The sequence below is a fragment of the Homo sapiens genome, chromosome 10 (genome assembly GCF_000001405.40).
Source record: "Homo sapiens chromosome 10, GRCh38.p14 Primary Assembly".
NCBI lineage: Eukaryota > Metazoa > Chordata > Mammalia > Primates > Hominidae > Homo > Homo sapiens.
In genome coordinates, this window is record NC_000010.11 from 72,098,626 (window position 1) to 72,121,706 (window position 23,081).

The window sequence follows — 23,081 nt, forward strand, 5'->3', positions numbered from 1 at the left end:
ACATGGACCTTGGCCACCATTGCTTTTCCTCTTCCTGCAATTAATGGCCTAGCAAAATGCCTGAGGGTTCATTAAAGGCTAACTTTATAAAGCCCAGTAAATATTGATTCTTCAACATGACATCAACTTGACCCCAAAGATCTATTTAGAGGTTGTATGCTGCATTGTCTTGTGTTTCAGAAAGGTGATCAGCTCCTGCCTGCATTGATTTACACAATTAACTTCTCTTCCTGGCTTTGGCAGCCTGCTTAAACCATATCCACCCTTTTATGTAAAGAAATTCAGCCTGAAATGGTTATCTGCTAATCCCTTTGCTGAACACTAATTTGAAGTGAAAGACACGTCACTAAGACTGACAGATTTATAGCTCTGCAAACTGAAGCCTTCTAGGTACAGAAAAGCTATAACCAAAGAAGCAATAAAAGACAATACAAAAGAAAACTAAAAGGAAACTCATAATACTTTCAACAAGTTACTTTTTAAGGATTGGCAGCCTGTGAGTGCTACCTTCTTCTCTTTGTGCCCATGTTTTCAAGTAGTGGGGAGGCCACAGTGAGAAGCTGCAAGTGACCGACCCATGACTTCACTTCACCTTATGCAGATGGCCTACAGACAGCATGAATCTGCCAGGGATATTCTCCTACTCCAGGTTTAAGGAAATAGCAAATGTAGCAATCATGAAGTTAGCTGGGATGTGACTGCAATGCAATAACAGAAGAATTGAGAGAGATAACTAAACATAAATTCTCACATCCACTAAGGCAAGAGCAGGCTGTGGAAAGAGTGCTGGATTCTAAACGTATGCCCAGACATGTAAGCTGTGTGACTGTGGACAGAAGGCACCACCCACTGTACCAACCACAACAGGGGCACAAGATCATAATGGGCAAAGACCTCATAAGAGCAAGTACAAGGCCAGGCGCGGTGACTCATGCCTGTAATCCCAGCACTTTGAGAGGCTGAGGCAGCGGGATCACCTGAGGTTGGGAGTTCGAGACCAGCCTGCCCTACATGGAGAAACCCCGTCTCTACTAAAAATACAAAATTAGCCAGGCGTGGCAGCGCATGCCTGTAATCGCAGCTACCCGGGAGACTGAGGGAGGAGAATCGCTTGAACCTGGGAGGCGGAGGTTGCGGTGAGCCGAGATTGCATCACTGCATTTCAGCCAGGGCAACAAGAGAGAAACTCTGTCTCAAACAAACAAACAAATAAACCAAAAAAAAAGCTAGTACAAGTACCTTGTGTGCTCACTGAGCAGGGTTTAAAAAAAATAAAAAATATCTTGTAAACTGTAAAGTGCTATGGAAAATTAGTATTTCCGTAGCAATATGGTATTTCCGTATGGTATTTCTTATGATGTTTTTAAATATCTCTCTGCCATCATCACCCTTGTATTTATTTTACCTTTGTAAGTCGCCATGTTCTTTCATACCTTTTGATAATATCACAACAAATGGATTTCTCATCCAGACGTCCCTAGTGCCAGTGCCAATCTTCATGTCACCCTTCCTACCTCTGTTCTTGTCCTCTATGTTTATGATTTAGTAACAGATAATTTACTAGCAATTTTTCAGTTATCTTACTGCTTAGTTATTGTTATATCTTTTTTTTTTTTTTAGACGGACTCTCTCTCTCTCTGTCACCCCGGCTGGAGTGCAGTGGCGCGATCTCAGCTCACCACAACCTCTGCCTCCCGGGTTCAAGCTATTCTCCCTCAGCCTCCTGAGTAGCTGGGATTACAGGCATACACCACCACACCCAGATAATTTCTGTATTTTTCAGTAGAGACGGGGTTTCTCCATGTTGGCCAGGCTGGTCTTGAACTCCTGACCTCAGGTGGTCCGCCTGCCTTGGCCTCTCAAAGTGCTGGGATTACAGGCATGAGCCACCATGCCCAGCCTATTATATCTTTATTCTTTGTTTTTTTCCTTTTTATTTATTTTCTTAATAGAGACAGGGTCTTGCTAGGTTGCCCAAGCTGGTCTTGAACTCCTGGGCTCAAGTGATCCTCCTGCCTTGGCCTCCCAAAGTGCTGGGATTATAGGCATGAGACACTGTGTCCCGCCAATGTATCTTTATTCTTAAGTCTTTTAGTTCTATCAATTATTTCTAATGACTCACTAAAATATAAGCCCTACAGAGGAAGAAGCTGGATCCTACTGTACTGTAACATTATCTAGTAGACTGCATCTGATCGATAAATATCTGCTGGACAAAATGACAATGAAAACTAATGCTGTAGATGTCCATGTACATCCCCAAGTCTGGAAAGAGAAAACTATGACATGCACTTGTCTAGACTGAATTTAAAGGTCTAATGTATCAGTTCCCACCAAGGAATTTCTGAACAGGACTTGCCAAATTATATTACTTCAAATCAAGGAGGCGGGGGACATTTCTACATGTTTCTTATTTGTGAAAACCTGGATCTCTTTCTTAGCTTCAGTTCCTGATCTGGAATATTGCTGAGCACCTGATGTTATGCATTTTCATGCAAAGAGGCACATGAAAGTAGTTCTGTCTCCCAAGTGCTTACCATCTCGTTAGGGAGAGTGCATATCAGAAGAGGGAAATGCTGATGACCTGGGTGTGTCCATCTTATGAAAAGTCACTGAGTCCTTTACTCTGTGATCTGTGTAGCTTTCTGTATGTATGTTCTACTTTAATGAAAAAAGCTTACCTAAAACAATATAGGTAGTAAAGGTTAAGTGCGTGAGATGAGAGGTACAGGCCATCAATAAATGCAGCAGGAGGTAAGGAAACAAGGGATGCTGAGGGCTGCGGACCTAGGAAAGCCATCTGGAGGAGACGAGACCTGAGCTGGGCCTTGTGGCAGGTATAGGGCGTAACACAGAGGAGGGAGGGCAGCATGAAGGCAGAAATGGGCATGGTGGGCTGGGCCAGGCAAACAGTTTAGATGTTTGGAAGGTTCCTAGAGTGAAGCAGTGAGAAAGACAGAAGGAAGGAGAATCAGATTAAGGGTGTCTGGGGGACCTGAGGCTCAAGTTCACAAGTTATACTTCATCCTACATGGTGGGGAACCACTGAAGGCTTTAGGGTAGGTTGGTGGCCCAAGATGAAAACCATGTTTTAGGGAGATTAACCTGGGTATGATGTATTGTGCTGACTGGAGAAGGGAACAAGATAAAGAAAAAAAAGGAGACCATGGTAGTAGTTCAGTCATGAGGGTGATGTTGAGTGTCTCAACTACAAACAGGCAGTGGGCTTGGAAAGACTGGAGCAGATGTGAATGAATGAATGAAGCCATGAATGAAACTATAAATGAAACACAGACCGGAGCTAAATGATGAGAACTTATAAACACAAAGAAGGAAACAACAGACACTGGGGCCTCCTTGAGGGTGGAGGGAGGGAGGAGGGAGAGAAGCAGAAAAGGTAACTACTGGGTACTGAGCTTAATACCTGAGTGATGTAATAATCTGTGCAACAAACCCCCGTGACACATGTTTACCTGTGTAACAAACCTTCACATGTACCCCCAAACCTAAAATAAAAATTACAAAAGAAACATAGAAACGCCTTGGTGACTTTCTAGATGAGAAGGAGATGGAAAAATCAGTGATGATGGGTCCAATGGGTGTATATGAGGCTGCCATTGACAGTAACAGAACATTTTTGAAAGGGAGCTACTTCATGGGGAAAACAACAAGTTCAGGTGTGTTTACACACTCACGGCTGTATCTTACCCACTAGCTCTCTGTGTCCCAAGCCCTTCTCGATTCTAGGATTTTCCTGGTAGGCTCTGAGAATATGCATCAGAGACACCTGTAGCACAGTTAAGTGGAAACAGATCACTATAAAAGGCTTTATGAGCGTCCCTCCTTTTATTGAGTTGTAGTTCTTTTTATACTAGGGAAATGAACCTTTTTTGTCTATGTTACAAGTTGCAAATACATGTATTTCCTCTAGTTTGTCACTTGTCTTTTGACTCTGCTTATAATGGTATTTACCATGTCAACTTTAATTTTTATGAACTCACAATTATCATAACAGGAGATTTTAAAAACAAAGTTACCTAATGCCAATAATTATACATTAAAAGATTGGCCGGATGTGGTGGCTCACACCTGTAATCCCAACACTTTGGGAGGCTAAGGCAGGCAGATCATCTGAGGTCAGGAGCTCAAGACCAGCCTGGCCAACATGGTGAAACCCCATCTCTACTAAAAATACAAAAATTAGCCAGGCATGGTGGCGGTCACCTGTAATCCCAGCTACTTGGGAGGCTGAGGCAGGAGAATCACTTGAACCCGGGAGGCACAGGTTGCAGTGAGCGGAGATTGCATCATTGTACTCCAGCCTGGGCAACAAGGCAAAGCTCTGTCTCAAAACAAAACAAAAAAAAGATCAAAGTGAACTAGAAATATGTAGGTATTGACAACAACAGTAATAAAGATGACAACAGCCAACATTTATTAAGTAAACACATGTGCCAGGAATTATCTTATTGCGTCCTCACAACCCCACGAAATAGATACTATGTTTTTTTTTCCTTTTTTTTTTGAGACAGAGTCTTGCTCTGTCGCCCAGGCTGGAGTGCAGTGGCGCGATCTCAGCTCACTGCAAGCTCCACCTCCCGGGTTCATGCCATTCTCCTGCCTCAGCCTCCCGAGTAGCTGGGACTACAGGCGCCTGCCACCGCACCCGGCTAATTTTTTGTATTTTTAGTAGAGATGGGGTTTCACCGTGTTAGCCAAGATGGTCTCGATCTCCTGACCTCGTGATCCACCCGCCTCAGCCTCCCAAAGTGCTGGGATTACAGGCGTGAGCCACCGCGCCCGGCCAATAGATCCTATGATTAATCCCCATTTACAGATGAGCCTTAGGTTTAGATGGCTTAAGTAATTTGCCTAAAGACACACACGAAGTTGATGGTGTTCAGGACTTCTCAAAATGTGGCACCTTGGCATTTGAGCAAACAGCAGAAGCAGGAAAGTCTCTCTCACCTTCCACAGCCCCTCTTCCCTGAAGCAGACGATAAAACCTATGAAGACCTATGAAGGCCGTCCTGTGACCTCCTGCTCTTCTCCCCTGAAGCAGGTCATAAGACCCTCATTCGACAGATACCCTCCCTTTGCCCAGAGGAAAGGAATATCCTTATCTGTGAAGACATAGAGCATAGAAAAGAATCCGAACAAACAGGCCTTGCTAAGCCTCCCCTCAGTTTATTACCATTAGGCCACACCCTTTGTCCTCCAACCATACTTCTCCATGACAGTCAAACTTACTTATAAAAATCAAACCTACTTACAAAACCTTTATCAAACCTACTTATAAAAATACACAAGTTACCACTTCCTTTGGATCTTTATTCTGAAGGCTCCCGTGTCATGTAAAGCTTGTATTAAATAAATTTGTATGTTTTTCTCTTATTAATCTGACTTTTGTTACAGGGGCCTCAGCCATGAACCTAGTGATGGGTGAGAGAAGAAATCTTTCCTCTCCTACAAAATAAAGGCAAAAAACTGAGATTCACACCCAGACAGCCTCACTCTAGAGTCTGAGCCCGTTGATTCCTGTACTCTATTGCCCCTTAATGTGAGTGGCTCCCCTTGAAACACAGCCCCATTAAATAGCCACAGTGAGGAACGCTGACCCAGACAACTCCCAAAGACTGAAATGAACATGTTCTTTCACTTGCTGTTCCTATATTCACTGCCACTGCTTTTCCTGGACCTGGTTTAAGAATCGGATGGCTCTAGCTCAGCTGGAAGCATTTTAATTGAATTCTGGATGAAAATAAGCACGAGTCAACTAAAAGGCTATATTTAATTTGGTATTTGAATGGGGAAAGATGAAAAAGCTTAAACTACAAGTTTAAAAAAAAGAAACTTGGTTGCTCTTTTGAACCTGAACTAAACATGAAGAACAAAGTGTTGTATTGTTTAGAAAGTAACAGACCTAACAGGAAAAATTTAAATTAAAAAAGAATCTAGTTAAGGTGTCTGAATCATGTTGAATTTTTTCTCCTCACTGTTGTTTTATAACAATTCCCTTGGGGATTTTGAAACCTGAAAACATTTTCCCTGACACGCACACACATACAGCCCTGTTGTTATGGAAGTCAGTATTTTTTAAAACCTGCTATAAAGGAACATAACAACGAACAGTACACAAAACTACAAATATTTAATGAGGAAATGGAAATAGGATTAAAACTGCCAATCGCTGTGATATAATTAGTAAATAATAAGTACTGACTTGGACGATTTAAGAAAATTTAAAACCACACCGGGCGGGGTGACTTATGACTTGAGTTCAGAGGGATGGCTGGACTCCAGAGGAGAGATGGCTTGACTTCCGGGAAGAGCCAGCCAGAAACAGGCAGACTTTGGGGTAAGATTACTTGCCCATCCCGTCCCTTCTCCAGCTCCCATGTCTGCTGAGAGCCATTTCCATCACTTAATAAAATTCTCTGCCTTCAACATCCTTCAAGTGTCTGGGCAACCTCATTCTTCTTGGATGCCAGACAAGAGTTCAGGACCCATTGGGTGCGGGTACCCAGAAAAGGCTGTCACACTGGCCCTTTGCCCTCAGTGGCAGAGGGCAGCCACCCCACATGACGAGGCAAGGGTACCACTGAGCTGATCACACGCTGCTGTCCACAGACAGCGGGACAAAGAGAACATTCTAACATGCCCTCTGGGGCTTTGGGGATCGCTGGCACCCTCACCTAGACACTGCCACGGGGCCCACACAGAGCCTGCTTCTGCCAGCACCCAAAATGGCCAGCCAGATCCCATACTCACTTGCTCACGTGCTCCCTCCCACAAGGGGTTGAGCACAGAGAGCCAAATAAATGGGGCACCCCCGTCACAAGTCTGACGAAGAGGTCAAGAAAAATCCTGCATCAATAATATCTTTAGAAAATTAAACAAACTTTTCCTATCACCAAGTAAAGAGAGAAATGTAGACCTTTGATGAAAGGTTTTTGGTCAAAATCAAGGTTTTCCCTGACAAACAATGGCAAGATAAAATCCAACCATCCTGCTGTCCCCTGCTCACATGATCTGTGAAGCCTACCATTTTCAGTTTGTACATGTTTCTTTCCTAGGGAGAACACAAAGGGAATTATTGATTTCTGGTAATGTTGTGGTATACACTGAAAGAAAACAAATAGCAAGATTTAAGGGCTCACTGTGGTTATTTTTCCTTGCATTCGTTTCAAAGCTTCTACTCCTTCCCCATTGCCCTGTGACACAGCCATCAAAGACCAGAAATAACTCCAAATGCAACAAGGCTGCCAAAATGAAACTGGCAATCTCAAACAGAGGTGGGGAGGAGGGTGGAGAGGGGCCTTTTCTTATATCTGTGACCTCGGGCTATAGAACCGAATAAATGGCCAGTCCGCAACAGCACAGTGACAATCTGCTGGGGATCCCTGCTCACTTGGCTTTCCCAAATGAGGCTCGCTCTTTTCTTCAATCTTAGACAAAGCTGTGGTTACTCTCTTCCAAGATCCCTCTTTTAAGAAAATCTACTTCTTGTGCTGGTGGCCTCGGTGAACTATTTGCTGTCTCAATACTACTTGAATAAGAAGAAATTCAGTTTTGAAGTTAAAAATGAAAATTCAAAATATTCAAGTCTTACGCTATTTATAATCATTCTTGACACACATGAGATAAACCAACCTTTAGAATATAATCTGATGCAACTGAAAGTAAGTACAGGGGGTTCAATTAATTCAAGTATTTAGAAGGATGTTCTAGGTCATATTTCTCTCTAAGAAAGGATGCTATTGTTCTCATGTATGGCAATCAGACTTTTGAAACTCAAAGCAGAGTGAATAGGAATAGCAAATGCATGCTACTTTGAGGTTTTCCCAGTGTTTTTCTTCCACAGCCTGTTTACCAACTTCTATTTCTCACAATTATCCCGTTTATAGATAAAAGTAGTAACACTATTTTGTACTTAATAATAACACTTAACCACCTACCTCCCTATGAGGGATGGTATGAACAGAAGACAGGCTGACAAGTACTTTGAGCTCTTTGGGAAGGCACTCCCAGTATGAAGCCTTGCTGTGGTTAAATAACACCTTTCATCTAAGGATCTAAAAGTGTCTTACAAAGCCCAGCTCATTAACTCCAAAAAAATTGCTATGATATAAACCAGAGCTGAGCATTATTATCCCCATTTATATAAGAAACAGGGACAAGCTAGGACCACTAATACTGTCAGAGAAATTTAAGAGTTCCTGGGATGAGGCCTAGGATACAGGCCAGTGGAAGGCCACGTCCACAAGGCAGTGTGTATGGGCCTCTCAATTCCAATAACAAATATGTACCAAAGAATGCCAAGTGGGGAAGCAGGTCCATCCTTAGGCTGTGCATATACAACCAGATAGCAAAGAATGAGGAGCAAATGATGTGAAAAGCTATCATCACAGCCCTTGGAAGATCCCAATTGCAAAACATCAAAACAAATAATGGTATATTTCAGATGCATTCCTCATAAAAGAGGCATGTAGGTACAGGACTAGTATGACTTCAGGGAGCAAACAGAAAGATACAAATACCAGACTAAAAATATAATCGATTTTGAAAAAAAAAAAATCAAGGTTCTTCGTATGTCATGTTACTAATCTCACTCAGAATTAAGATCACTTTATTGGGAGTTAAGTCATCAAAAAGAATTAAGTTCACAAATAAGTTACCCCCCCCCCAAAAAAATAAATTTTGTTTCAAAGTTATGTTTATTAAAATTCCTCAAACCTAAAAAAAAAAAATTCTGAGTTTCTGCCAAATACCGTGCATTTGTCTTCTGGGCCACCTGTGAGATTACTTCTGAGGAGACCAAATGTGGGAGGTAGGAAGAGGCAAGAAGGAAATGGAGATCCACCACATCCGGGGTCAAAAAAAACCTTCCATCTACTTTAAAAATACTCACATGGGCTGTGCCCAAGTGGATTCTTTCTAAACATCATCACAGAAGAATGTAATTGAGTCTGTTTACCCTAAGGTAAGTCATGCTCCTCTACACACAGACACACATACCTTCACCTAGGTACAAAAAAATTGATATTTCTTTTCTACTGAAGAAAGGGCACAAAAAGTTTCTTGGGCAGACTAGACGTTTTTAATGCTTTCCTATTGTGAAAATAAGTAATTCAAAATCTAAGCTGTTGGAATCTTAACATATTGTAAGGCTTAAGGGAATGTGATTATGTGAGTCACTTAAACTTGTATCTGTAACCTGGGCAGCTGTAACTGTTGTTTTTCTGATTATAGATTAGCCTTTTTCCTCACCTACACTGTTTTGTAAATGGTTGTAAATGAATAAACAGTGCCAGAGAAGATCCCTTCCCTTTTAACTGTTGATCTTCATTTTGATTAAACTTCCCTCTTACATTTCTCATACAAAGACTTAAAAGACTATCACATCATCTAGGATGGTATGTTAAATACTTTCTTTTTCTTTTTCTTTTTCTTTTTTTTTTTTTTTTTTGAAACAAGGTCTTACTCTGTCAGCCAGGCTGGAGTGCAGTGGCGTGATCACAGCTCACTGCAGCCTCCACCTCCCAGGCGCAAGAGATCCTCCCTCCTCAGTCTCCTGAGTAGCTGAGACTACAGGTGCATGCCACCATGCCTGGCTAATTTTTGCATTTTTTATAGAGACAGGGTTTTTCCATGTTGCCCAGGCTGGTCTCAAACTCCTGGGCTCAAGTGATCCTCCTACCTCCACCTCCCAAACTGCTGAGATTACAGGCGTGAGCCACCATGCCAGGTCCTACACTCCTAAGTTGGAAAGGAAGTGAAAACAAGCTGTACAGAAAAGAAAACAAACTGTAATTAACTAAATTATAGCTCATAAACCAACCTTGTATAGAAAATGTTATAATCCTACTAAATTTGTTTTCTGCCTATATAAGCAGGACCTTAACTTTTAACTTTAAGCACTGACCTCATTTCTGTGAAGTCCCTGTTTCCCAAATGGCCATTCCCAGCTTTTCACTTGAATAAACTTTTAAAAACTGAGTTCTGATCCTTTCCATTATTGCTGGTCGACATTATCAATGACTACAGACCCACTCCCTCCCCCAATTTCTCCATCTTTAAACAGGGATGATCCTTTACAAAGATGTTCTGCAGTTAAAGATAAATTATAAGATGAAATTTTGAGCTCTGATTATTATTGTCACTCACTGACTATAATCTCTAATGCATCACTGCAGGAACCAAAATGCAGAGTATCCTTAAAAGAAAAAAGGAAGAAGGTTTATCAGGTACTCTGACAGCTTACAGGCTCTACAGTCATTATCTGGTCTCATAGGGCTGTAATATTTTTAAAGACCAAAATAGGAACATCTACTTCAGAATAAAAGACAATGAGGGTGGCAGGTAGTGACTATCCTAGAGTCATCTCCAAACACAGCTTAACTCTGCCCAAGATGCCACTTTTAATCTGAAACATCAGACTGCAGTGATCAGTGGTGTGAGAGCCAATAATATTATAGTAGCTAATAATAGCCAATAAAAGAGAGGACATAATGCCCTTCCAGAAGGCCTGGGGCACCTCAGATCCAAGGAGAAAGGTCAAGGGCAGTCTGTGGGAGGAGCAATTCTTATCAACATCGTGGCCTCTATTAGGAGAGCAGCAAAAAGGCTGTTAAGTCAGTAGAACAGCTGTGATTTTTCAACCCATCAGCAGGCCACTCCTGTTTTTGTCTCCATTAAAATAGTACCAAAAGGCTTGTGTGTCCCCAGAGCCCAAGTCCCCTCTCCACTGACTGAGATGGCATTCCTTGCACAGAATGGGAACAGCAACTTCCCCTCACTCATCCTGCTCTCAAATCACCTGCCTGTCTTGCTGCAGTGAGCAAGAGGAATGCTCAAATGAGCATTAGCCTGACCTAAGGATGTGCTGGCAGAAGGCAGACAAACAGAGCCAGGGAGGGAAGGCTTGAAAACTTCCTTCAAATAATCACTCAGGGATGCACTTTGGGAATTTGGCCTGAGGCTCACTGCTGATGTAAGGATTATCAAGTTTAAGACTGCTGGTAAGGCCAAATGACCTATTAGAGGATGAATTAAAACCGCTATATACAAACAGGATGCCAGGCAGTTCTGCTGAGCACCTCAAAATTCAAAATGCCAAGGGATTTCCCCTCTCTGCAGTCTTTCAATTTTGAAAAATAGTAAGAAAATAATATGAGTAGGGGTAGGAGGTAGAGGAGAAAAGAGGCTACGCTGACCCGGCTGGAGAACCCACACCTAATCTCCGCCTAATCTCGGCACAGGCTAGGCACACTCCGCCCGTTTCCACATTACGTCACAGAATTAGCCTCAGAGATGAGAGGTGAAAGTTCAATTTGCTGCATTATTTCTTCCCAAAGAAGCCTTGCCACAGGGCATGGGTATTACTGCTTTACCTGACAAAACTGCCCCTGGGGCTGATGGCTAGCAGAGACTCTTCAAGCCTGTGACTAGCAACCCTAAGGGCAGGTGCCCTTTCAGAACTAATCTAGATGATGTTTCTGCAGATAAATTCTCTCCCTTAGAAAAATACCTCTTCTTAATGCTCTTATTTCTGGTGTGGTCATCTTCCCTCAGGTATTATTCATAATGGTCCCTCAAACAAATGCAACAGAAGATAAATGTTTGGTCTCCGTATTACACAGTAGAAAGGAAGAGCAAGTCAGCAGAAATGAATCCTTAGAGGGGAGTACACAGGGGACAGCAACAGGGACATTTCTTCCTGGCCCCCGGCTTTTGGGAGGCTGGGCACAAAGTGGCTGACTATTGTGCCAAGGCAACAGATTCAGGAGCAGCATGGAGGAAACCAGTCACCAGCCTCAGGCCATCTCCACTCCAACTTCTCCACCAACAAGGCAGCATCCAGAAGTTAAAGAGCAAATCAGGCCGGGCGCAGTGGCCCATGCCTGTAATCCTAGCACTTTGGGAGGCCGAGGTGGGTGGATCATGAGGTCAGGAGTTCGAGACCAGCCTAACCAACATGGTGAAACCCCGTCTCTACTAAAAATACAAAAATCAGCTGGGCGTGGTGGCACGTGCCTGTAATCCCAGCTACTCAGGAGGCTGAGGCAGGAGAATCGCTTGAACCCGGGAGGCGGAGGTTGCAGTGAGCTGAGATCACGCCATTGCACTCCAGTCTGGGTGATACAGCGAGACTCCGTCTCAAAAAAAGCAAATCAGATGTCTCTAGGCAACATCAGACAATGCAAAGAGTACACATGCATATAAATAACAGCTATCCAAATAATGGCTGGCCTTGGATTGGCTCCCTGGAAGAGGGGAGAGAGGCTGCCACATGTTATCAACTAAGTTATTTTCAACTAAGTTACCTCATTAGACGGGAAGACATGAAATACTGCATCCTCTGTCAGAACCAAAGGAAACATGCCTTGAGTAGCACCACTGTAACTTTATAGACTCTAACACACACTTTTCTATAATCTAATTCAGATGGCCCTCCTTCCCCTCTGCAAAGGTGTGGGCTAGATGTCAAATAAGCAAAATGCTTTGGAAGAGAGAGAGGGTTATCATCTCCGTGCATGTCACAGTCATAAGGCCACTACAATTTAAGAAATTGGTATCAGGCCAGGCGTGGTGGCTCATGCCTGTAATCCCAGCACTTTGCGGGGCCAAGGTGGGTGGATCATTTGAGCCCAGGAGTTCAAGACCAGCCTGGGCAACATGGCAAGACATCTCTACAAAAAAATACAAAAATTAGTTGGGTGTGGCAGCACACGCCTGTAGTCCCATCTACTCAGGAGGCTGAAGTGGGAGGATCACTTAAGCCTGGGAGACTGAGGCTGCAGTAAGCCAAGATGATGCCACTACACTCCAGCCTTGGGTGACAGAGCAAGACCCTATCTCAAAAAAAAAAATTCAAAGTTTTAACCTACAACTGAGAGAATAAACTCTGAATTGAATTTCTGATTATACCATTTTCTCGCTTTTAATTTGTAATAATAATGTTCACATTTGAGTATTAATTCTAAAATTGTTTCATCCCTCGGATATGGGGAAGACAGCATCTTTTTTTTTTGGAAACGGAGTCTCTCACTGTAGCCCAGGCTGGAGTGCAATGGTGCGATCTTGGCTCACTGCAAGCTCCACCTCCCGGGTTCATGCCATTCTCCTGCCTCAGCCTCCCGAGTAGCTGGGACTACAGGTGCCTGCCACCACGCCCGGCTAATTTTTTTGTATTTTTAGTAGAGACGGGGTTTCACTGTGTTAGCCAGGATGGTCTCGATCTCCTGACCTCGTGATCCTCCCGCCTCGGCCTCCCAAAGTGCTGGGATTACAGGCGTGAGCCACCACGCCAGGCCAAGCATCATTTTTTAAGAAGACATCACAGCTTCATAGCATAGTGAGCTTCACTCTTGTTTCTTTTACCTCTTTCCACCAGTGTCCTCTAACATTTGGAATAACACTTAGCCATTGTTGATACAAAGCCCCCGAAACTAAAACGGTTTTATTTGGTCTGGTCTCTAACAAAGGGCTGCTTCAAAGAGGACAGTGCCCTGTCACCATCTCTGGGTCCAGATTTATATTCTGCTACTGGTTTGTTTATACTGTAGCTAAAAACACACAATGCAGAATATATGTACAATGGAATAATATTCAGCCTTAATAAGGAATGAAATTCTGACATATGCTACAACATAGGTGAACCTTGAAAACATTATGCTGAGTGAAATAAACTGGACACAAAAGGACAAATGTACAATTCCACTTACATGAGGTACCTAGAGTAGTCAAATTCATAGAGACAGAAACTGGAGTGGTGGTTACCAAGGAGAAGGGGAAATGGGGAGTTGTTCATTAAAATGAGTTTTAATTTGGAATGATGAAAAAGTTCTGGAGATGGATAGTGATGATGGTCGCGTAACAACATGAATGTACTTAATGCCACTGAATTGTACACTTAAAAATGGTTAAAATAGCCAATCTTATGTATATTTTACCACAATTTAAAAAAACAACGGCCGGGTGCAGTGGCTCACACCTGTAAGCACATCACTTTGGGAGGCCCAGGTGGGTGGATCACTTGAGGTCAGTAGTTCAAGACCAGCCAGGCCAACATGAAACCCCATCTCTACTAAAAATACAAAAATTTGCCAGGCATGGTGGCACACGCCTGTAATCCCAACTACTCAGGAGGCTGAAGCACGAGAATCACTTGAACCCAAGTGGTGGAGGCTGCAGTGAGCCGAGATCCTCCACTGCACCCCAGCCTGGGCAACAGAGCTAGACTCTGCCTCCAAAAAAAAAAAAAAAAAAAAAAACCCCAACATACAATGGACCCAAAGTGACCCACTCATTTCATCAGTGAACTACATCCAAAATAATATGAACAGTCCTAGAAATGAACACATAAAAAAGATAAGTATTTTCTACAGTAAGAACAGACATCCCGTTCAAAGAGTTCATAAGAATGACATCACAGGAACCAAAGACAATTGAATATTTATTCCCCCTCCCTCAAATGCACCAAGCAAGCATGTAGCTTAGTGTTTTATATTTAGTAGGTATTCAATAAACATTACCAAATATTTATTTTCATTCTGATAAGAACCAGAAATGATTTTAAGAAAGGTAATGCTAACCTCTTAATTTTTTTTCTATTTCTTGCTATTGTGCTGGCTGGGCCCTTTCAAAAACCCTGCATCATTCCCTGCCTGACCCAGGACAACACATGGAAGTATTCCAGTCCCACTGCAAAGAGGAATAACCTGTGAACATGAATTCAAAAGAGAGCAAAGGTATTTTACAGACCAGGGAAGGTGCATCTTCCCAGAATGGATGTTGGCTTCTGCCAAAAATCAGTCAATTTCTTGTTTTGCAGTTCCATGTTAACAATGGTTTCACCTCACTGACAGCCATATCTTCAGATGCTCTCATTAGTGTTTTAAGACTTCACTGTCCAGGCAAAGTAACACATAAGACACATTTAAAAATTCCAAGGAAAAAATTTGGTGAAACACAGCTTAGATTTGAATCTTCCTTTCCCTCACCCCCTAAATAGACTGAAATAAGAAGCTACAACACCAAACTGAAGCATTTCAAACTGTACTTTTTCCTTATATATCTGATGCTCTAAGGAACTGCCCAATCACCTGTCAGAAGTCTTTCAGATCCTTTAAAACATAGTATATTGCTTTTCTATTGCTGTCAAAATATGAAAAGCCCCTAATAATCTTCTGCAATCTCCTATTTTTATAGCTTTTCATCATCAAAGAAGGGAGGCAGAGCCATATCTTATCACTAACAAAGCACCATATTCTAGCAGGATGTCTTGTCACAATCTCCTTCCTAAACTTTCACATTTTTCTGACATTCATGCTAATTGTAAAATTAGCACCATTTACTTGCAAGTTCAGTGCACTTTATTTTTCATTCAATATTTTTTATTAATACCTTCTGTAATAAGGCATAAATGAAGCTGCCTTCAAACAAAATCACTGTCCATGTTTCAAGTTAATCAGTGCATACCATAGAGAAGCACAGAATTAATTTTGGATGTATTTTGAAATAAAAGAAAGTTAAATGTAAATGTAAGCTCATTATTATCTTTATCAGCTGAGTCTTGCTATGTGTAGTAATAAAGCTGCAATCAAATTTAATTGAGAAATGAACTTGAAAGATTGTGAGTATGAGCTATAGGTATATTCAGTTTGCGGCTCTCTTTTCTTGAGTTGAGTAACCTAATTTTAAAAAAGAAATAAATGGCTGGGCGTGGTGGCTCACGCCTATAATCCCAGCATTTTGGGAGGCCGAGGCAGGCGGATCACGAGGTCAGGAGATCGAGACCATCCTGGCTAACATGGTGAAACCCCGTCTCTACTAAAAATACAAAATATTAGCCGGGCATGGTGGCGGGCCCCTGTAGTCCCAGCTACTCGGGAGGCTGAGGCAGGAGAATGGTGTGAACCCGGGAGGCGGAGCATGCAGTGAACTGGATCGCACCACTGCACTCCAGCCTGGGTGACAGAGTGAGACTCCGTCTCAAAAAAAAAAAAAAAAAAAGAAACATTTGCTAGAAATGAAAATAATTAGTTAAACAGAAATTCAATAGGATTGACTGTTGTTAACTATATCTTTATGACATAATTAGTTTATCTTGAGGGCCTATTAAATAAATGCATCATATTTAATCATAAAGCAAAATTGTGTTGGGTGAAATAAAAGAAAAACTAAACTCTAACCTCTAAGACAGGAGTCAGCAAACTTTTTTTTTTAAAGGCCAGGAGGCCACACGGATTCCACCACAAGTACACAACTGTGCCAAATGGTGTGTAAGTAAATGAGCTGAGCTGTGTTTCAACAAAGTTTTACTTATTTGGATTTCACATAATTTTCACATCATTAAATAGTACAGTATTCTTCTTTTGATGTTTTTTCAATCATTAAAAAATGTAAAAACTATTCTTGGTTAGAGGGCCATAAAAAATACAGGTGGTGGGCCACGTTTGGCCTTCAAACAGTAGTTTGCCAAGTCCTGCTTTAAGAGTTTATTATATGAAGTACAAGGCAAAAAATATCCCCTCTGGCAAATCTAGTGTTCTATTGATGCATAAGAAAAAATCTTTTTCTTCTCTCCTTCCAAAATCTGATGTCTGTAGAAAACAGTTCCAAAAAAGTTTCCTGAGTGCCTGCCAGGTGCAAGACACATTGCTAAGCACTGAGAGGCACCTAAGAGGTCTCTGAACAATCAAAGTAGGGAGAGGGGGGTAGCTGAGAGATGGAGAGAGCTCTATTGATTTGGACAGCTCTTACCATTAAGGAAGAGGTAGTATCTGTATTGGACTTTGAAGAACAAGTATCATTTGAATACAGGGAGACTGTAGTAAAAGAAAAACACAGAGATAAGGACAAAACCTTAGGGAATAGACATATTATGGAGTGAATTTTTTAAAAAGTAGCTCCAGAGTCAGGAAGAAAACCAGGAGAGCCAGCTGCCACTGAAGCCAAGAGAAGAAAGCATTTGAAGGAGAAAAGGGCTTAACACTCTCAGTGCAGATACTGGGGAAAAAGTAAAAGTAGGTCAAGGCACTGAACAAACAGGGGCTATCAATGACTTTTTACAGTGTTGTTTTGGTATAATGGTAGAGGTGGCAGACAGGTTGGAGAGAATAAATAGGGACTAGTCTGAAAGGGACGGTGGCAGGAAGAATGGCTTTATAGTGTTTATTCAGACTAGAGAAATGGGTTCTCCTTCCTTAAAACAAAAAACACTCTCATGAAAGATGCAGCTACTTTCTTAGTAAATTGCTCTAATATGAAACACTCTAATAAGAAAGTTGTTCTTTATACCAATTAAATTCTTACACTCTTTGAAATCAAATGGCCCAATTTATGTGGTAAGATCAACAGTTAATAAAAGGTGCATCTATCGTAAACATTGCAAAAAGACACAGCCAAGAATCAACAAACTTTTCTGGAAGGTGCTATATAAACACACGTACACCCCAAATGGTTAAGTGTCCTACTAAGCTCCTAAGTGTATGCCTGTCTGTCCTTCTTTCTTCATAAAATTTTTTATTTCAACATAGTTTTACACTTATAAAAATGTAATAAGAATAGTAAAAGGAATCCTGAATAGTTTTATCCTTCCTTCTTTTTTAAAAACCTACTTCAAGAAAAGCATTCTTTGGCTGAACTTCCTGCTTTTTGTTCTTTGTAATGTAGATACTGCCATTAAATTTTGGCCATCAGTTTAAAAACTGTTAGGACTCAAGTAGTTTAGTTAATGTTGTCCATGATTCAGTCACAAGTTGTAAGAAAGCAAAGTACAATATAAGCTCACTTAACAGAGTTCCTGTTTAAAATTCATTGGGCTTCTTTAATCTTCAGATTGATGTTTTTCACCAACCATGCCCCATTCTCTCCTTCTGAGGTTCCAATTAAATATATGTTAGATCTTCTCACTTACTATCCTGAACGTTTTGTTCTCTTTCTGTAATTTTTATCTCTGTCTATGCATCATTCTACATAATTTCTTCTGATCTAACTTCCAGTTCACGATTTCCCTCTTCAGCTATGTCTAATTTGCTGCTAAACCCATACACTGAGCTCTTTATTTCAGTTATTGCCTTTTATAGATCTAGCATTTCTATTTGGTTCTTTTTCAGAACTGTTATATTGGTTTTTCTTTTTAATAGTTCCCAATTCTCTGATAAAAATTTTAAGCTTGCCAGCCAGGCACAGTGGCTCATGCCTTTAATCCTAGCACTTGGGAGGCCAAGACAGGAGGATCACTTAAGCTCAGAAGTTCAAGACCAGTCTGGGCAACACAGTAAGACCCCATCTCTATATTTTAAATTTTTTATTTTCTGCAATGGAGTCTCACTCTGTTGCCCAGGCTGGAGTGCAGTGGCATGATCTCAGGTCACTGCAACCTCCACCTCCCAGGTTGAAGCGATTCTCCTGCCTCAGCCTCCCAAAGTGCTGGGATTACAGGCGTGAGCCACCATGCCTGGCTTTTTAAATTTTAAGAATTAAAAAACAAATTTAAGCTTGGCTTTGATTTCTTCGAACACAGTAAGCATAGTTGTTTTTAGTCCAAGTCTGATAACTCTAGTATGTCATATATTTATGAGTTTTATAAGTCTGTTTGCTTATTGTGACTGGTTTCCTCTTATGTCTAATCATCTTTGACTGTGTATTGGCCACTTTTGGAGAAAAAGTTCCCTGGAGGAATATTTTTAGGCAGAGGGTGATGGTACCTTCTTCCAGAGATTTCTGTTTGCTACTGCCATATGCCTGGAAGCACTACCAGTTCAGAGCCTCTTTCATCCAAGATCAAGACCTTAGGGTCTATTTCCTCCTTTTAGAACACTAATGTTAATTTTTGCACTGATTGAGAACGCTCTTTGTCATATTTTCCCCTCATATTTTCTCTTTGCCATTTGCCAGAGATTTCCTTGACTCTTTCTTCCAGTCTTTGATTAAATATGCATATATGTGAGTGCATATATGTAATCTCCAAGGACCCTCTCATTCTCTAATTGATCCTTTTAAATAACATTTTTACTTTCCAAATGATTCTTCAGGAAGTTGCATATCTGTTTCACTAACAATTGTCTACTTCACATGATTGTCAAGAATAATGTCATTGCTTTCAATGCTATATATAAAAGCTATTACAAAATATTAGTATGGCCAACTGAACTGCAGTTTGTGTATTAGCTTTAAAAGCCTGGAGAAGAAGTGACATCTGCTAGTGATTTTACTTAAACAATGTTAAAATATCCAGTCATAGAAATATAACGTATTAAAAAAGGCACAAGAGCCATGGTGAAAATCAAGGGACAATAACTTTATCCTAAATTCCATTTGCTGTTATATATCCTGCTATAATAGTGCAATGGGACATTTAGCAATAGATAATCAAGGAAAGACTTTCTGAGAAATTTGAGTTTTGAGAAAAAAATCTAAAGAAGAGCCAAGTGACTAAGCAAATAATTTTCGGCCGGACATGGTGGCTCACGCCTGTAATCCCAGCACTTTGGGAGGCTGAGGCGGGCAGATCACAAGGTCAGGAGATCGAGACCATCCTGGCTAACACGGTGAAAGCCTATCTCTACTAAAAATACAAAAAACTAGTCGGGGGTGGTGGCACACGCGTATAGTCCCAGCTACTTGGGAGGCTGAGGCAGGAGAATGGCGTGAACCCGGGAGGCAGAGCTTGCAGTGAGCCAAGATCGTGCCACTGCACTCCAGCCCGGGTGACAGAGCGAGACTCCATCTCAAAAAAAAAAAAAAGAAAAGAAATAATTTTCAAAAACAGTATATAATATGGCTGAATATTGAATCGAATAATAAAAATGGATAATAAAAAGAAACAACGTTTTCTTCCTCAAATGAAATAATACACTTTCTGGCTGGGCATGGTGGCTCACGCCTGTAATCCTAACACTTCAGGAGGCCAAGGCGGGTGGATTACCTGAGGTCAGGAGTTCGAGACCAGCCTGACCAACATGGTGAAACCCCGTCTCTACTAAAAATACAAAATTAGCCGGTCATGGTGGTGCACGCCTGTAGTCCCAGCTACTCAGGATGCTGAGGCAGGAGAATTGCTTGATCCTGGGAGGCAGATGCTGCAGTGAGCCAAGATCGCACCATTGCACTCCAGCCTGGGCAACAAGAATGAAACTCCGTCTCAAAAAAAAAAGAAAAAAAAGAAAAAGAAAGAAATAATATACTTTCTAAATGCTAGTCTCCCTTTGCAAGCATTAATATCTTTTTTTAAAAGCTACAAGACTTCTAGTTTCCAGTCTAGCATTAAGGACTTCGGAAGTCGCCACTCCATCCTAACAAGGGAAAAGCTGAACAGACTGAAACCTTGACAACTCTTCATAGGTCTGTCAGAAGACTGAGGTCGGGGACAAATTGCTGCCCCCAAAACTGGAGACACACACAGGTGGATACAGAGAATCACAAGGGAGAAGAAACCCACAGGAGAAACCTCCAGAGAGTGGAGTAACCTAACTGTAATTGACGAACTGCTAGAGGCTGTGTGGACAAGTCTAAGAGTTAGAAACTCCAGGGAACCACCTCACCAAAAGTTTTTGTAATTTTACCTCCAGGAGCTCTACTTGGCCTCCTGCTTCCAGCAGGGGGAGGAATAAAAGAACCATTCTGAAATATGCCAGACCACTTTGTTCTTAACAAGGCCTGCCCTCAGGAGAAACTATTTTACCAGAGCCTAACCTGCTGGGGTTTTATGAAAGCTTAACATACCTAGGGGAAGGATGATATCCAACTCCAGCCCCCTCTAGCCATCCACAGTGGGGAAGAGAAATATCCAGCCCTAGTGGGCACTAACCTTCCATGTGTAGGAACCCCACCTCAGCTCCCTCCAGTCTTCCACATAGGGGCCCCTCTAACCATCCTGTTCCACCTAACGGGGGTGATGAGAAGCATAGGTGATATTCACAGTCCAGTGGCACAAGCTCACCAAAAGACTGAGACCTAATCACAGAATTACAGAACACTTCCCCTCCGTCCAACCTTACCATCACACAACAGTACATCATGTCCCTTTCACCCAGTACATCACGTCCAGATTCAACAAAAAATTACTACAAGACATAGTAAAAGGAAAAAAAAAAAACCAACACAACACAATTTGAAGAGACAGGGCAAACATCAGAACCAGAGTCAGAAATGGCAGGCGTGCTGGAATTATCATACTGGGAACAACTATGATTAATATGCTAAGGACTCCAATGGATAAAGGAGACAACATGCAAGGACAGATGGATAATGCAGGCAGAGAGATGGAAATTCTAAGAAAGAATCAAAGAGAAATACTAGTGATTAAAAGCACTGTAACAGGCTGGGTGCAGTGGCTCACGCCTGTAATCCCAGCACTTTTGGAGGCCGAGGCAGGCGGATCACCTGAGGTCAGGAGTTTAAGACTGGCCTGGCCAACATGGTGAAATCCCATCTCTACAAAAATTAGCCAGATATGATGGCGGGTGCCTGTAATCCCAGATACTCGGGAGGCTGAGGCGAGAGAATTGACTGAACCCAGGAGGCGGAGGTTGCAGTGAGCCGAGACTGCACCACTGCACTCCAGCCTGGGCGACAGAGTGAGACTCCATCTCAAATAAATAAATAAGTAAATAAATAAATAATAAAAATACTGTAACAAAAATAAAGAATGCCTTTGATGGGCTCATTAGCAGACTGGACATGGCTGAGAAAGAATCTCTGAGCTTGAGGATATGACAACAGAAACTTCCCAAACTGAAAAGCAGAGAACAAAGACTGAAAAAACACAACAGAATATCCAAGAACTGTGGTACAACTACGAAAGATATAAGGTGCACACAATGCAAATACCAGGAGAAGAAAAAAAGGAATGGAAACAATATTTGAAGGAATAAAGACTGAGAATTTTCCTAAATTAATGTCAGATTCCAAACCACAGATCTAGGAAGCTCAGAGAGTACCAAGCAGAATAAAGACCAAAAAAAAAAAAAAAATTGTACCTAGGCATATCATAGTCACACTTCTGAAAACCAAAGATAAAGAAAAAATCGTGAAAGAAGCCGAAGGGAAAAAACAAATACTTTTCCTATATAGAAGCCAAGATAAGAATTACATTTGACTTTTCCTCAGAAACCATGCAATCAAAAAGAGAGTGGAGTGAAATACTGTTGAGAGAAAGAAACTCCATCAACCTGGAATTCTGAACCCTGTGAAATTATCCTTCAAAAAATGAGGGAGAAACAAGTATAAGCGATATGCTAAGAAAGAAGAGAAAAAGAAATTATATATAATGCTCAAATAAACCAAAAAAGGCAGAAAAAGTGTGGGAGGCAAAAATAGAAACAAAGAACAAGGGCAACAAATACAAAACAGTAACATATATAATAAACATTAATCCAACTATATTAATCAATAATCACTTTAAACATCAATGGTCTAAATACACCAATTAAGAGACAGAGAGTGTTAAATTAAAATAATAATAATAAAGCAGCCAAACAATATATTGTCTATAAGAGACCGACTTTTTATTTATTCATTTATTTTGCGACAGGGTCTTGCTCTGTCACACAGGCTGGAGTGCAATGGTGCAATCATAGCTCACTGTAGCCTCAACCTCCCAGGCACAAGCGATCCTCCCACCTCAGCCTCCAAAGTAGCTGGGACTACAGGCGTGCACCACCATGCCCAGCTAATTTTTTTAATTTTTTGTAGAGACAGGGTCCCACTGTGTTGCTTATGCTGGTCTTGAACTCCTGGCCTCAAGTGATCCTCCCACATGGGCCTCCCAAAGCGCTGGGACTACAGGCATGAGGCATTGTACCCAGCCAAGAGACTCACTTTAAATATAAAGACACACAGAGATTAAAAATAAAGGGATGTCCCAGCATAGATGGGTTCTTAAAAAAAAAAAAAAGAAAAGTAAATAAAGGGATGAAGAAAGATATACCATTCTAACACTAACTGAAAGAAAGTTGAGTAGCTATATTAATTTCAGATGGAGCAAACTTCAGAGCAAGGAAAGTTATTATGAATAAAGAGGAGCAATACATAATGATAAAAAGATCAACTGTCCAAGAAGACCTAACAAT

The 23,081-nt window shown here is 41.4% G+C and overlaps 1 protein-coding gene across 38 annotated transcripts in view; it reads right to left on the reverse strand.

Moving 5' to 3' along the window:
* Positions 1–23,081, reverse strand: part of ASCC1 (activating signal cointegrator 1 complex subunit 1) — a 121,103-nt gene that overhangs the window by 2,594 nt on the left and 95,428 nt on the right. For 9 of the 38 annotated variants that reach the window (XM_047425257.1, NM_001369086.1, NM_001369103.1 and 6 more), the window contains one exon: positions 4,225–4,342. The exons of 17 other annotated variants lie outside the window; for them this stretch is intronic. In XM_047425257.1, the coding sequence (XP_047281213.1) occupies positions 4,225–4,342 (118 nt within the window). Of the gene's footprint in view, positions 1–3,708; positions 3,788–4,224; positions 4,343–23,081 lie in introns of those variants that run through there. 12 more of the 38 variants (NM_001369085.1, NM_001369100.1, NM_001369087.1 and 9 more) reach the window with 2 other exon arrangements.